The following is a 16108-nucleotide window of genomic DNA, read 5'->3' on the forward strand; positions in this document are numbered from 1 at the left end:
GGCTGGTCTCCAACTCCTGAGCTCAAGCTATCCTCCTGCCTCAGCCTTCCAAAGTGCTGGTTTTACAGGTATAAGCCACTGTGCTCAGCTCATGATAAATAAAGCAAATTCCCTGCCATCCTGGGGCTTGCATTCAAATGGCAGAGAGTGCTACCCGGAAGAGTTAGGAGGAGAGTTTCGCATTGCCATGGACAAAAGTTTTATCTGAGTTTGATATTTGGGTCTTGAAGATTCTTTGCAATGAAATCGCCAAAGAAAATCCAAATCTAAAAGAACCCTTTTCCAGTACCTCCCCGTCCTAGAATAGCAGTGGGAGCTGACTGCCAGACCAAAGGGTGCAAATTCATGCATGTCATTGGAAGACTTTGTTAAAGCTGCCACTTCCTGGGATCAACTCCTATGAAGAATATGGACATCCATTCCATTCTTCAGTTGCGAATTGATCTCTAGCCCTGGTCTGACCTTTTACCTTACCATGGCCTGATCCTAAGCCTGGCTACATCCTAACCCATAATACTGACTGACTCAAAACCTTCCTGATTTCCTTAATTAGACCATTCTTCCCTAGATCCATGCTGTGGTCAGCAAAGGCACTGAGTGAAAGGGTAAGGTCTCAGTGCTACCCTCCCATACCTTCAGGACAGCGAAGTTTGGTGCTCAGGACCGGTCATGGGTCAGGGAGTATCTGGAGAAAGAATGTGGTTTCTGCAGGAAGGAGTTTCTGAGTAGTCCATCCTCTCAGCTCCATCTCTATGTCAGCAGAGGCTGGAGGGAACTTGAGCCAGTTATGATTTGATGATTTGTGCTAATATTTGCCTAAAATTAATAGAGTTGGAAATTAATAGAAATGGTAGCGGGTAGCAATGAAATGAAATTCCCACTCAGAACCTGGCTAGCAGCCCACTGTTCTGGGGACCCTTGGGGTGGCTCTTTGCTTTGCAGCTGTATTTGCTTCTGCTTCTAAGATATATTCTTTTGTTTCTTTTTACTTTCTTCAGGAGAGGAGATAAGCTGGGAAGCAGGATAGTGAACAAAGTTGGAAGACACACTGGAGTGGAAAACTCTCAGGGCAGAGATTTGTCAGGATATGTTAAAACCTGTAATGAGCAACCCCCACATTTCAGTGACTTAACACAATAAAACTTCATTTCTCATTTACTCAAAGGCCAACGTGAAAGTACCTGATTGAACAGCTGTCCTGGGCAGATCTTCTCTATGGGACAACTCAGGGATCTAGGCTCCTTTTGATGTGTGAATTCATTGTTTTCTAGAGACTTGGGAAGCTCCAGAGTCCTGGAGATCTCTTCTGGATTGTCTATAAAAGATATCCAAAGAAGAAAGGGAGAGTGTGGAGAATTACATGGATATTTTAGAAATCAAGCACAACAGTTGTGTCTAAGCCCATTAGTCCCATACCCTCACTTACTTGCAAGGGGGAAATGTGGCTTAGCCAGGTGCCTAGGAATAGGGAATGGGTTTGGCAACTGTCCAGCCTGTCTATACTGCAGGACAGCAAGAGACCTAGGAATACTCAATTTGGGTCTTGGCTAGGAAATGCCTTATAGATGCATTGTGAAAAGAGCAGAGAGATTGTCTGCCCTGAACCCCCCACTAGAACTGTACCCAGGCCCAGCGGATGCTTCCATGACTTTTCATGTTTGCTCTTTCTTCCAGACCAGGCCCAACATGAACATTTCCACCATGGCTTAGCTAAAAAAGGGCTAGAATTGGGAATGCCATTTGGGAATGTGCTGGTGACAGTTGGTGACAATTCCAACTCACTCAGCTCTGGGAATGCAATAGGAAAATTAAGGTGGGTATCAGGGGCTCAGCTAACACTGTTCTAACCTTCATAGAGAGTAAGCAATCCCTCCCTATAGAATCTACCTCATGCCAATGGGAATCTCTTACCTTCCTTTATCAGTGCCTGAAATTCCACCCCTATAATCTGGGTCTGCTAACTCCAAGAACCAGTGTGTTTCTCATTATATTAAATTCATCTCCTAGTAGAGGTGACGTACAAGGTCACTATCTCCTCCAGCCCCTTAGATCTGCTTAGCCATTGTGGGATGGTGAACTAGGAGGAGTAGGGGAGTCATCCAGTGGGGATACTCGGTGGTGATGGAAAGAAAGGTGAGAAAGTTCCAGGGATAAACTTTGCTAACCTGACAAGTGCTCTGGCTGCCAAATGGAGCAGCGCGTGCTAATGAGAGAGATTTCCTAACGCAGAATTAAAATAGGCCAGTCCATTCAGAGGAAGTGACCTGTAATCAACTTTAGAGGCCAGGCAGTGTTGCATGACTCCAATCCCAATTAGGGAGGCTGAGACAACTCCTGCTGGGATGTCAACCCTCCAGCTCATGAATAAGATGGCCCAGAGCCATTTTCCATTTCCTTTCTCCTGGGCCAAGATTCAATCTCTGGAGAAGACAGTGAAGGAGGACTTCCCTTGATGATGATTCCCTGGAGAAATGGAAGGATGGAGAAAGCAAAAAATTCCAACTGTCCCAGGAAAAATATTAGGAAGTGAGGCTGGCCTTCTCTACTTTGGAGTTCTCCATGCCTGACCATTTGGGCTCCTACAACTCTCCCTTCCTCTCTTCTCTGTGAGTTAGTCACTTAATCTTTCTGATCTTACATTTTCCCATTTGTAAAATGGTGATAATAACCCTGCCCCCTTTGGGGATTGAGTGTCTGTGAAGCTCCCATTCATCTTCTCCTTTGTGTCCCTATTGTCTTTGATTTATTCCTCTGTAGAGTAGTGTTTGGTAATTTAGTTGCTTACCGGTCTTATTCCTATCTGGAGATAGTGAACTTCTTGGGTTTTTCAGTGACTGTAACATATTTGTCTTTTTATGCTCAGCAGCCAGCGCAGTGCTCGCTTCTTGAAGTGGTTCAGTGAATGTTGAGTTAGTGGATGAAAACATGCATCAACAAATGAGTAAGCAAATGAATGCCTGAAGGACTGTGCACCTCTGAGTGTCACTGAGGGTTACAGTATATGTCTGTGTCCCAAGGTGTCAGCCCTTCTGCAAGAGATGATTGGAGAGGGCTTTCATTCATCCCAAGGAGCATAGTCTGTCTAGGGCAGGGGTGGGGCCCTTTCTCCTAGGAGGAACGCTTTGAGAGGCACGAACACGGAGCTGGATCAGAGGAGTACGTGCCCCTGCTGTCAGCGTGGGGGTGACTGGCCCATGGAATAGAACTTATCTCCAATGTATGCCATGAGCCCTACCTAGGAATCCCTTCCTTAGGGGTGGTCCCTACCTCCATGTAGATGGACCTGTGTAGGAATAGCGTTGCCTGGTAGTGGGTGAATAAATCTGCTTAAGCATGGGGCTCAGTTAATAGGCTCATGTCTCATCAGGCTTGGGATTTAGCAGAGAGTTTGGAGCCTAGCACACTGGATTTTCACCTCAAGGAAGATGCTGCCGCATACTATGTAGGTGGATTTTTTTCCCCAAAGCAACTGTGGCGGAGGCAAAGATTGGTCTATAAGTGCATGAAGACGGCATAATTGGTGACCACATTTCACTCCTCTGTAGTAATATTATACATCCATACCCCTTCCATAGCCTCATGGTGGGAACAATAATTGTCTTTGCCCCTTGACATTGAGCTTGGCCATATGACTTGCTTTGGCCAAGGGGATGTTGGCAGATGTGACAAAAGCAGGAGCTTGAATTTGCTTGTGTGATTGGGTTCGTGTTCTTGTGCTTCTGCCATCACCACAAAAATACCATATTTCAGGTTGCCATTGCATCTTCATGTCAGACACCAAAATGAGACATCTGCAGTGAAGCTATGCCAAGCAATCTGCAGACATATGAACGAGAAATAAATGTTTCTAGCTGCATGTCACTGAGATATCAACGGAGTTTGTTATGTAGCAAAAGCTGATTGATACAAGGCAAAATGAGTTTTTTAAATTTCAGGCTTTTTGACACTGACAGTTGAGGAAATTATTTACTGCCTTTAAATTTGCAAGGCAGCAGTTACTAAAGCTTAATATACATATAGCCTGTGATCTAGAAATGTCTATGGGGGGGACATTCAGCTTATGTCCCCCCCATAGACATGTATAAAAATATTCATAGCAGCTTCGGCCATAATACTTAACCTGGAAATAACTCAGATGTCCTCCAGTACAGCACAGAAGGCCAAGGAGGGAATGGGAGTGAGAAAGTAGAGGCAGGAAGTTGTTGCGGATGCAAAAAGAGATGAAAGAACAAATGGGAGTGGACTCTTTCTGATGGAAGAGGTTTGAGTGTGTTTATAAGCTTTGAGAAAAGATTCAATAAGGAGGTAGAAGTTGAAGGTTCAGGAGGAGGTGCAGAGGGATGGAGTAAGATGTTCGATAGGTAGCAGGGCGTGGTATTCTAAGCCCAGTTGCAGCAGTTTGCTTCAGAGAGAAAACTAGAACAGAGGGTAGGAAGATGAAGATGTTTGTAGGTTGTTGGGTTCAGAAATCCAGAAGGGTCCTGCCTGATGTGGGTGTTGGGGAGTTATGGGAATTAAAAAGAATAATAAGATTTTGTAATAACCATTGTGGGAAATGAGAAAGGGGCCAGTAAGATTGTCCAGGGGCAAATATGATTGCTAAACAGTTTCAAAAGTCCAGCTGAGAGGTTGGAGACCAGGAAATTGTGATGCTTTCTAACAAGATTCAGCAACCTGGATATGGGAACCAAGAAATTAAGAGATTTCTTAATCTCTTAATTAAGAGATTTAAGAGATGTCTTAAATTAAGAGATTAAGAAATTAAGAGATTTCCACCCCCACTTGGCAGTCATTAATTCAGGGCCATCATTTAAGAAGGGCCCAAGGGTTACATTTAAGGGCTAAGACATAGGGAAATTTTGTGGGCTGTTTGACATATCTGCCACCGGTGTGGTGTGTTTAAGGAAGAGGTTGAACGAAGGTGGCAGCATTCATTGCAGAAAGAGTAGCACCCATATCTACCAGGAGTCAATGAGGTTGACCATCTATATTTATAATAGTTAATTTGCCTTAGATGTTTAAGGGTAAGGCAGGCTATTGAGTACTTTTTCTTTCCTTAGAGAACCCTCATTCATCTAAATTGAGATACTTTTTTTTTTTTCAAATGGGATGATTTTTCCAGTGTCCCTTCTGTTCATGATATCTAAATATATCCTCATTAGTACAGGTGACCAGTTTGGAAGTGAGCCATCTATAGCTCTTTGATCTGCAGGGCTGTAACAGTTGGATTCTCCCATTGTCCCTCTCCTGGCGGAACAGAACCAACAGGATATATATGTGTGTGTGTATATATATATATACCTGTTGGGTCTGGGTCTGTTTCTCTGTATATATATATATATATATATATATATATATATATATATATATATATATATTTATAAAATATTTTTTTCTTTATTTTTCTGTATTTTAAGGAATTGACTCACTCAATTGTGGGGGCTGCCAAGTCTGAAATCTGTAGGGCAGGCTGCAGGCTGGAAACTCAGGCAGAATTTCCGTTCCAGTTTTGAGGCAGAATTCCTTCCTCTCTGGAAAATCTCAGTATGTGCTCGTAGGGCCTCTTAAGCTGATTGGATGAGGCCCACTCACATAATGGAGGGTAATCTCTTTTACTTAAGGTCAGCTGATTAGAGATGTCAATCACATCTATTAATACAAAATACCTTCACAGCAACATCTAGGCTAGTGTTTGAGCAAACAATGGGGTATCAAAGCCTAGGTTTTCTTTTTTTGCATGATGAGATTATAGTCCAATAGATTTTTATTGGAAATATTTCAGGTAGGGCTTTTAGGAGATTTTGCCCTACTTTTTGGGCCTGTTTTTTATCTTGAGGTTTATTGTGGAAAGAGGGATCCAGGTCGGTCCAATCACCTTTAGTAGGATTTAGCATCTGAGGTTCTGACCAACGTGTGTAAAATTGATAGAGGTCTGGTAACCCTGGGTCACATGCACCCCAAATAATTCTAAATTTATCTGTGAATAGTTGCTGGTCTTGTCTGGGTTTAGGAAAATCTGTACTTATGGTTATTAATTCAATTCTGGCCCAAGGTTTAAATTCTACAGTTGCTTGCCTGTCTGGCTCATGGGAGCGGTTATATCTTTGAGGCACCTGGCATTTAAGGGTCTTAGGAATTATTGACAAAGGATTGGGAACTGGATAAGGGAAGAGGAGGGAGGAGTCAGCAGAAGTGCAGAGGGAGAGCAATTAAAAGGATAAGCGGGGGAGAGGGAGGACTGGATCCAGGGAAGGAACTTGGGGACAAGGAGCTGGAGATTGACTAGGAAAATGTGTCTAGTCTGCTGTTGAGTTTTTCAACTTGCTCATTACCTTTGGTCAGAGAACCTTTCAGTGAAGCAATTTTAAAATCAGAATTGTATCTGCAGGCCTCTGCATGCTGATCAAAGTATCTTATTCTCTGTGTTTTTTAAGGTGCCTCTCAAATGAACAATTTTGTTCAAGTCACACATTCTCCACAGTGGCCACTGGAGATCCAAATGATTCTTGATGGAGTTAGGCTATTTACAGAGAGATGAGGCACAATAATTAGAATTCTAATGAAGGTCTGTGTAAGAATCAGGACTTTTTCCTGGAAGAGGAGAGGATTTTTATTCAGATGACCCCATGAGAGCCCTTGGGTACCCTGTGTCCTGGGTCCCCAGCCTGATGGTTAATGGTCTCCAAAGGGAGACCGGACAGTTTGCACTTCTTGCAGAAAACCAGAGAGAACATTCTCTCTGGACAAAAGATGGCAGACAAACCTTACCCAAGTTTATTGGTGACTCACAGCAAAGTTTGTCTGAAAGAACCACAAACTCACCAGTCTAGGAGGTTGACTTGATCAACAGTCCTGTGGGATATATGCCTGTGTTCTACCCTGTGATTCTTGTTCTGTGACAAACAATAATTTTGACAGCACAGCAGAAAATGGAAGAACAAAAGAAAAGAAAAAGAATGGTCTGATTGTACCAAAGACGCAAACAAATGGGAAGAATAATAAAAATCAGGGGCAAAACTAATAATAAATAGCTGAGAACTCACCGCAAAGACAGTGGAGTTCAGACCTAGTGCTGAGTTCCCACACTGGTGTGGATTTGACAAGCCACAGGTGGCAAGGCACAAGAAACCTCTACAAGTACCGCACGCACATGGACAGAGGCTGAGGTCCGTGGTGATGGGCAGTGCAGACTGTATCTCAGCAGGACCGCCAGGAAATCTGTGGAAATAAATGAAGACCACCCACATGAGAACAGACAGAAGCTATTTACTCAGAACTTGCAAAGGAATCAGCCATCATTTGCATTTGGAAGGGACTCAAAAACAGGCAGAGACTGGGAAACTTCACAGTGGAATAAAAAAGGGAAGGCTTCAGGTATGCTGTGATTGGAGGTTGTTGGCATGGGGACAACAGAGGTGGGCGAACTGGAAGAAGGGCATCTTATGTGGTTGACTGGGGAGCATATTTGACTTTTTCTGATTGGTCTTGAGTTGGAAGCAGGGGCGAAAAATAGGGAAGCTGGAAGTCATTGACCAATTCCTGGCCAGGTGCAGTGGCTCATGCCTGTAATCCCAGCACTCTGGGAGCCTGAGGCCAGTGGATTGCTTCGAGACCAGCCCGGGCAATGTGGCGAAACCCCATCTCTATGAAAAATACAAAAATTAGCTGGGCGTGGTGGTGCATGCCTCTAGTTCCAGCTACTTAGGAGGCTGAAGTGGGAGGATTGCTTGAGCCTGGGAGGCAGAGGTTGCAGTGAGCTGAGATTGTGCCACTACAGTCCAGCCTGAGTGACAGAGGGAAACCCTGTCTCAAGAAAAAAAAAAAAGAAAAAGAAAAAGAAAGTCATTGACCAATTCCTGCCTAGGATTCCGGGTTGATTACTGCTGGGGTTTGGCTTCCTGGGCTGGTTGCTGCAGACTCTATTGTTGTATACAGTCTGGCCATTGTGGATTTGTATGTTAAGTCCTTGAGGAGGTATTGTTGCATTGTTCCAAAAAGTTCCCAATCTGGGTAAGAAAATGAGATGTACATTCAAAATCAAGATTGTCTGTTTCTGGGATCAGGCATCTGCATGAGGCCAGGCTGAGGGTCAGGGTGCAGGTAGAGGGAGGGCTGGGCTGTATTCAGGTGAGGAGTTGGGCTGTGTATAGGTGAGTGGTCAGAGTAGGGCAAAGGGGTTGGCCAGAAGCTTCTTTCAGAGGGTAGGTCACCAATGTAGGACTGACTCAGTGACCCTGGCCCAGTTAGCCCTGTCTTTGACCAGCTCTGATTTAAGGTCATGCTCTTCCTACTTTCCAAACATTTCCTTTGGCATGAAGAAACTTCCTCCAGCTGCACCTGGTCCCTTGGGGGAGTTCTTTTAGGCATAGTCTAAGGTTGGGGAGGAAGTGGCATGGCTTTGATAATAGGGGACAAGGGTGAAATTGCAGCTTGCACTCTCTCCCTGCTGTGTGATGAAAGCATAAACCCACCTGCACAGGAAGGTGCTCTTAGACTCCCCTCCTCTGACAAGCCGGAACTGCCCCCGTGCCATTGTGTTAAGAATTGAGATGCTGCAACCTGCAGATCTCTCAGGTTGATAGGGGTGTGAGGAGATGGTGGGAATGAAAGGGGGCTTTGTTCCTTTCATTGTGCTGTTTAATGCATTTCCTTCTCCATGAAACGTTGGCTGTAGGAGTAACTATCATTCATAATTTTCAGTCATTGCCTATCTAGGGTGATTGAATTGAGGGGTAACCTCACTTACTGTCTTATCACAGTGCCTAAAAGGCTACATTATTGCTCTACTCTTTCAGGCTGAACATTGCTTTCTTTTTGGTTTTTGTTTTTGTGCCTCAGCCTCCTGAGTAGCTGAGATTACAGGCATGTGCCACCATGCTGGCTATTTATTATTTATTTATTTATTTATTTATTTATTTTTGTATTTTTAGTAGAGACTGGGTTTTGCCATGTTGGCCAGGCTGGTCTCGAACTCCTGACCTCAAGTGATCTACCCACCTTGGCCTCCCAAAGTATGGGATTACAGGTGTGAGCCACCACACCTGGCCAACATTGCTTTCTCATTTGTTCATGTCACACATATTTATTACAGGTGTAAACTATGTATCAAGCACTTTGCTGGTTACTGGGGATAAAATATTGAGTAGGACAAAGCCTTGACTTTCATGGATCTCATAGTCTATTATAGGAAACAGATGATAAGAACAAAAGTGCAATGAGGAACACTTACAGGGTACCATGGCAGGATAATGGAGGGGATAGGTTACTTAGGTGGAGGGGAGAGGGCAGGCCTCTCTGAGGGTGGGACATCAAGTGAGATTGGATTTTGAGGAAATGCCAGGTTCATGAAGAGCAGATGAATGCGCCTCAAGCAGAAGAAAAACATGTGGAAAAGTATTGGGGGACCTGCCCTGATATTCATGTAGGTTCTTTTCTATTTTCCTTAAGCATCGGCCAGCTTGAGAAATAAAGGGACAGAGTACAAAAGAGAGAAATTTTAAAGCTGGGCATCCGGGGGAGACATCACATGTCAGTAGGTTCCGTGATGCCTCACAAGCCGCAAAAACCAGCAAGTTTTTATTAGGGAGTTTCAAAAGGGGAGGGAGTGTGCGAATAGGTGTGGGTCACAGACATCAAGTACTTTACAAGGTAATAGAATATCACAAGGCAAGTGGAGGCAGGGGGAGATCACAGGACCACAGGACCGAGGCGAAATTAAAATTGCTAATGAAGTTTCAGGCACCATTGTCATTGATAACATCTTATCAGGAGACAGGGTTTTGAGATCAACCGGTCTGACCAAAATTTATTAGGCAGGAATTTCCTCTTCCTAATAAGCCGGGGAGCGCTATGGGAGACTGGAGTCTATTTCACCTCTGCAGTCTCGACCATAAGAGATGACCACGCCCAGGGGTGCCAGTTCAGAGACCCACCCCCAGGTGTGCATTCTCTTTCTCAGGGATGTTCCATGCTGAGGAAAAGAATTCAGTGATATTTCTCCCATTTGCTTTTGAAAGAAGAGAAATATGACTCTATCCCACCCAGCTCACTGGCGGTCAGAGTTTAAGGTTATCTCTCTTATTCCCTGAACAATTGCTGTTATCCTGTTCTTTTTTCAAGGTGCCCACATTTCATATTGCTCAAACAAACATGCTGTACAATTTGTGCAGTTAATGCAATTATTACAGGGTCCTGAGGCGACATACATCCTCCTCAGCTGACAGGATTAAGAGATTAAAATAAAGACAGGCATAGGAAATCACAAGGGTATTGATTGGGGAAGTGATAAGTGTCCATGAAATCTTTACAATTTATGTTTAGAGATTGCAGTAAAGACAGGCATAAGAAATCACAAAAGTATTAATTTGGGGAACTAATACATGTCCATGAAATCTTCACAATCCACGTTCTTCTGCCATGGCTTCAGCCGGTCCCTCTGTTTGGGGTCCCTGACTTCCTGCAACAGAAAAGTCTTGGCATTCCTGGCACCAAATGAAGGCTGGTGAGTGTAGAGCACAGAGGATGAGATTGAGGGCATGAGGTGCAGCTGGAGAGGAAGCTGGAGGTCACTTGGAGATGCAGAAAGATGCAAATATAAGAGGAGGCCACAGAGGGAGTTTAGGTAGGAGTGTTACAATATGATTGGATTTAGGCTTTATAATAGTTTCATTTTATGGCTGGGCACAGTGGCTCATGCCTGTAGTCCCAGCACTTTGGGAGATTCAGGCAGGTGGATCATTTAAGGCCAGGAGTTCAAGACCAGCCTGGGCAACATGGTGAAACCCCATCTCTACAAAAATACAAACATTGGCTGCACTCTGGTGGTGTGGGCTTGGTGGTGCACACCTGTAGTTCCTGCTTTTTGGGAGGCTGAGGAGGGAGGATCTCTTGTTTTTTTTAATTTTTAATTTTTTTGACACGTAGTCTTGCTCTGTTACCCAGGCTGGAGTGCAGTGGCAAAATCTTGGCTCACTGCAACCTCTGCCTCCTGGGTTCAAGCAATTCTCCTGCCTCAGCCTCATGAGGGAGGATCTCTTGAGCCCAGAGGTTGGGGCTGCCATGAGCCATGATTGCACCACTGTATTCCAGACTGGGCAACAGAGTGAGACCCTGTCTTAAAATAAATAAATAAATGAATAGTCTCATCTATAAAACAAAGTCATGATTGTTGTTTTCATAAAAATGACCATGTGCATTATAAACATTTCACAAAATAGGGAAAAGTAACCTAAGAGGAGCAATGATTCACCGTGGTGACTATTTTTCACCCAGTCTTTTGGGTGCCAGGCTATGAATGGCAAGAATAGGAGTGGGAACTCGTTCATTAGTCATTTATTGATTAAACAAATACCTGTGAAGCACCTACTCTGTGTCACACACTATTCTCAGCTGTGGGATGTGGTGAACACAGCCAAGCAGGTTCTTGCATTCTTGGGGAGGTACAAGGAAAGAAACAAGTTGGATGCAGCTGGTGATTAGTGTTATGCAGACAGCCAAACAGGCTAACACAACATAGAGGCAGTGTCTTGAGATTCCTAATGAGAGGACCTCTCTTTGGAGGGGTGACATCTGAGCTGTGATATGAGTGACAAGGAGCCAGGAGAAGAAGCCAAGGCTGTGGGCGAACGAGTGTGGGGGCCGAGCTATGGTGGGTTTTGTGGGTGGTAATGAATTGCGTGGGCTTTATTTCAGATATGATGGGAAGCTACAGAAATTCATTCGGAACTTTGTACACCATGAGGCAGGAGCTGATGGTGGCTCTAAGAGGGAGAGGAGTCAGAGTTGAGATGTATTTTGGAGGTGAACCGACTCCTGGTGAACTGGATGTGGAGGGGGACTGAGGGAATGGAAGGTGTCAGGGACGACTCCCAGATTTCTGACTTACATAACTGGCTGAATGGTGGGAGGTACTATTTGCTGACGTGGGGAAGAATGGAGAGGGGGAAGAAGGACATTTTTAGTGAACATTGAGAGTTAATGTTGGGACAAATTAAATTTGAGATGCTGTGAGACAGCCAGGTGGAGGTATGGAAGCATTTTTTTTTTTTTTTTTTTTGAGACAGGGTCTTACTCTGTTGCCCAGGCCAGTGAGTGATCGCAGCTCACTGCAGCCTCGACCCCCTAGGCTTAAGTGATCCTTCTTCCTCAGTCTCCTGAGTAGCTGGAACCTCAGGTGTGCGTGACCACAATTGGCTAATTTTTTTTTTTTTTTTTTTTTTTTTTTTGGTAGAGATGAGTTCTCCCTATGTTGCCCAGGCTTGTCTCAAACTCCTGGGCTCAAGTGAGCCTCTCCCTTCAGCCTCCCAAAGTGCTGAGATTACAGGTGTGAGCCACTGCACCTGGCCCTCAGGAGGCATTTTGATATCTAGATTAGAGCCCTGAGGATAGTTCTGAGGGAAGTTAATCTGGGAGTGGAGGGCACACAGATAGCCTTGGAAATGGCTAAAGTCACCTGGGGAAATAATGCAGGTAGAGAGGAAAAAAATGCCTCTGGAGGTACAGATAAAGGAGGAAAAGCGGGCAGTGGAGAAGAGGAAGAACTGCTAGGGAGGTTAGTGGAAACCTGGAGGGTGGCGACATGATAGTCAGGAGGGAACGAAGCTTTAAAAGGGAAAATGTGGTCAAAGATACTGAATGATGCTGAGAAGAGGAAATTATCTATTGGTCTGGTAACATGGAAGTCCCTGGGGACCTTGACAAGAACATCTCTGGTGTCATGTTGGAGGAGGAGCCAGGTTGAAGTGGATTGAAGAAGGAACATGCAGGCAGAAGAGGAAGCTTGAAGAGCCAACACATATATGAAAAGATGCACAGTGCAACCACTAATTAAAAAAATGCAAGGGAGGCAACAATGAGACACCATTTCTTACCCATCTCATTGGGCAACCATCAAAATGTCTTATGGTAGGCGTTAAAACTGAAGTTTTGACTGGGACTCCCAGTGACATGGATGAGGCATCCCAGAGGCAGATCTCTGTAAGTAGAGTTTAAAAAAGAAATGGTCCCCAAGGCTGTGACTCTTGGGCCCCAGAATCACAGCAAGGAGACAAGAAGGGCCAGACAGTGAAGAAGAGAGGACTGGGTGAGGGGATTCCTCTGGAATGTGTCACTGCTCTGTGGTGAGGCCTCACCATGGATGCCAGGTGCAGAGGGGTGCAGGATGTGGCCTCCTCACTTCAAGGTTTGTGACTTGGTCAGCTCATGCTGCTGTAACAAGTACCATAGACTGGGTGGCTTAAACAACAAAAACCTATTTCTCACAGTAATGGAGGCTGGGAAGTTCAAGGTCAAGGTTCTGGCTGATTGAGTGCCTCCTGAGAACCTGCCTCCTGACTTGTAGACAGCCACCTTCTCACTATATCTTCACATGATGAGGACAGAGATCATCTCTCATCTCTTCTTATTTTTTATAATATTTTATTTATTTATTTTTTGAGACAGGGTCTCACTCTGTCACCCAGGCTGGAGTGCAGTGGTGCAATCATAGCTGACTGCAGCCTCAACCTCCTGGGCTCAAGTGGTCCTTCCAACTCAGCCTCCTAAGTAGCTGGGACCACAGGCACATGCCACCATGCCCGGCTAATTTTTGTATTTTTGATAGAGATGGGGTTTCACCATGTTGCCCACACTGGTCTTGAACTCCTGGGCTCAAATGATCCTCCTGCCTTGGCCTCCCACAGTGCTGGGATCACAGGGGCAAGCCACCATGCCAAGCTCATGTCTCTTCTTATTAGGGTGCTAAATCCCATAATGAGGGCTCTACCCTTTGGACTAATTACCTCCCAAAGCCCCATCTCAAAATACTATCACGTTGGGGATTAAGGCTTCAACATATGCATTTTGGAGGGACACAAAAAGTCAGTCCATAGCAATTAGCAAGCCTTCTGGGGAGGTTTGCTGTGTGTTCACTACAGTTAGAGGCACAGAGAAAACTCACACTGAAGAAAGCTAAAGTGATAACCAGCAGTCGGAACTTTGTCTCATTTCTGATCTCAGGAGGAACATGTCTTAGTCAGTTTGGACTGCCATATCAACATACCATAGACTGGGGTCCTTAAGCAACAAAAATTTATTTCTCACAGTTCTGGAGGCTGGGAAGTTCAAGATCAAGGCACCAGCAGACTCAGTGTCTGGTGAGTGCTCCCCTCCTGGTTCATAGACAGCCATCTTTTCACTGTGTTCTCACATGGCAAAAGAGGCCAAGGATCTTTCTGAGGCCAAGGATCTCTCTGGGGTCCTTTTATTTTTTTTCCATAAAGGTACCAATTTCATCTGTGAAGGCTCCACCTTGATGGCCTAATTACCTCCCAAAGGCTCCACCTCCTAATGCCATGACGTAGGGGATTAGGTTTTAAAACATGAATTTGAAGGGGATACAACACTCAGTCTATGGTAGAAAGGTTTAAATTGGTCAGTTTCTTGTTTTTTCTTATTCTTTTTCTTTTTTTTCTTTTTTCTTTTTCTTTTTTTTTTTTTTGAGATGGAGTCTCTCTCCATCTTTTTGTTTTGTTTTGTTTTTTTGAGACAGAGTCTCTCTCTGTCACCCAGGTTGGAGTGCAGCGATGCGATCTTGGCTCACTGCAACTTCTGCTGCCTGGGTTCAAGCGATTCTCCTGCCTCAGTCTCCCAAGTAGCTGGGATTACAGGTGCCTGCTACCGCACTTGGCTAATTTTTGAAGTTTTTTACTACAGATGAGGTTTCACCATCTTGGCCAGGCTGGTATTGAACTCCTGACCTTGTGATCCACCCGCCTTGGCCTCCCAAAGTGCTGGGATTACAGGCATGAGCCACCGTGCCCAGCTTCAGCTTTTTATTTTATGTAGGGCTTTTGTTGATATTATTTTTTTAGCTTAAGGAAATTATACTATTAGTTTGCTAACTGTGTTTTTAAAAATCATAAATGGGTGTTGAGTTTTATCAAATGCTTTTTTTTCATCTATTGAGAATCCAACTCTGAAACGAAGTAGAGCTTTTGGAAGTCTTGTGGTGCTGAGGAGGCAAAAATAAATTTTCAAAGCCTTCCAACATGGAGGGACATCAGTGAACATCCAGACTTGCAGGTAAGACCTGTGGAGATACGGGTACAGAGACCTCAAAGCATCTCAATCCCTGGTTGGATTAAGGCAATTTTCTCTACTGTCTGCCATAAACAAAGGGTTATAACATAATCCTAAACCGTCTGTACTTTTTCTTAAACAATGTCTGATATTCAATCAGAAATTACCAGGGATATCAAGAGGTCAAAGCAATTGACTTGAAATCAAAGGAATAAAAAAAGCCCACGGGAAATCTAGATGCTGGATGTATGAGTTTTAAATAATCATGGTTAGCATGTTTAAGAATATAAGTGATAAGATGGAAAATTTCACCAGAGAACTAGAATCTAATTTAATAAAAAAGAAGAGAAATTATTCTCTAAGCTTATCTGAAAATTTCATTTATACTGCCCACCACCCTCTTTTGCCAGAGTATTTTAATGAAAATCTGTGAATATCAATTCATCTGTAAACACTTGATGATGTCCTATATTTTTTCCTTGAGCAAACACATGGGTACTTTATGATCATTTGAAACCTGTACATATATGCTTTCACATTTTTGGGTATATTTTTGTACAGTTTACAATTAAATAAAAAGGGTGGTCCATATTCACTGTCATCATTTCCTGTAAACACCCCATTCCTACCAGTTCCATCCCTCCACCCTCTTCAAATATTCCTTGCAATGGAATATAAATTTTTTTCTTCAGAGACAGAGTCTTGCTATGTTGCCCAGGCTAGAGTACAGTGACTATTCATAGGGGATCATAGTGCACTGCAGCCTCTAATTCCTGGGCTCAAGCAATTCTCCTGCCTCAGCCTTTCAATTATCTGTGACTACAAGCATGTATCACCACACCTGGCTGGAATATTTTTAAAGTAAACTTTTTATTAAAGTATAACATACATAGAGAAACATGCACATATCACAGGCAAACAGCTTGCTGAATTTTCGTAAAGTAAACATACCTGTGTAACCATCGCCCAAATCAAGAAACAGAATATTTTCTCGCTCCTTTCCCATTGGAGACTTCCAGGGGCATCTGGACCTTCTCAATTGCAAGTGTCC

At 44.0% G+C, this 16108-nt stretch overlaps 1 annotated feature.

Annotated features, from left to right (window-relative positions):
- Window positions 9459–9974: an enhancer, noted in NCBI's record as "OCT4-NANOG hESC enhancer chr20:4244845-4245360 (GRCh37/hg19 assembly coordinates)". NCBI's record gives its function as "activates a minimal SCP1, AML or CMV promoter by ChIP-STARR-seq in naive H9 embryonic stem cells {active_cell/tissue: H9 hESC(naive)}" and the evidence as "EXISTENCE:reporter gene assay evidence [ECO:0000049][PMID:30033119]".

The sequence above is a fragment of the Homo sapiens genome, chromosome 20 (assembly GCF_000001405.40).
Source record: "Homo sapiens chromosome 20, GRCh38.p14 Primary Assembly".
NCBI lineage: Eukaryota > Metazoa > Chordata > Mammalia > Primates > Hominidae > Homo > Homo sapiens.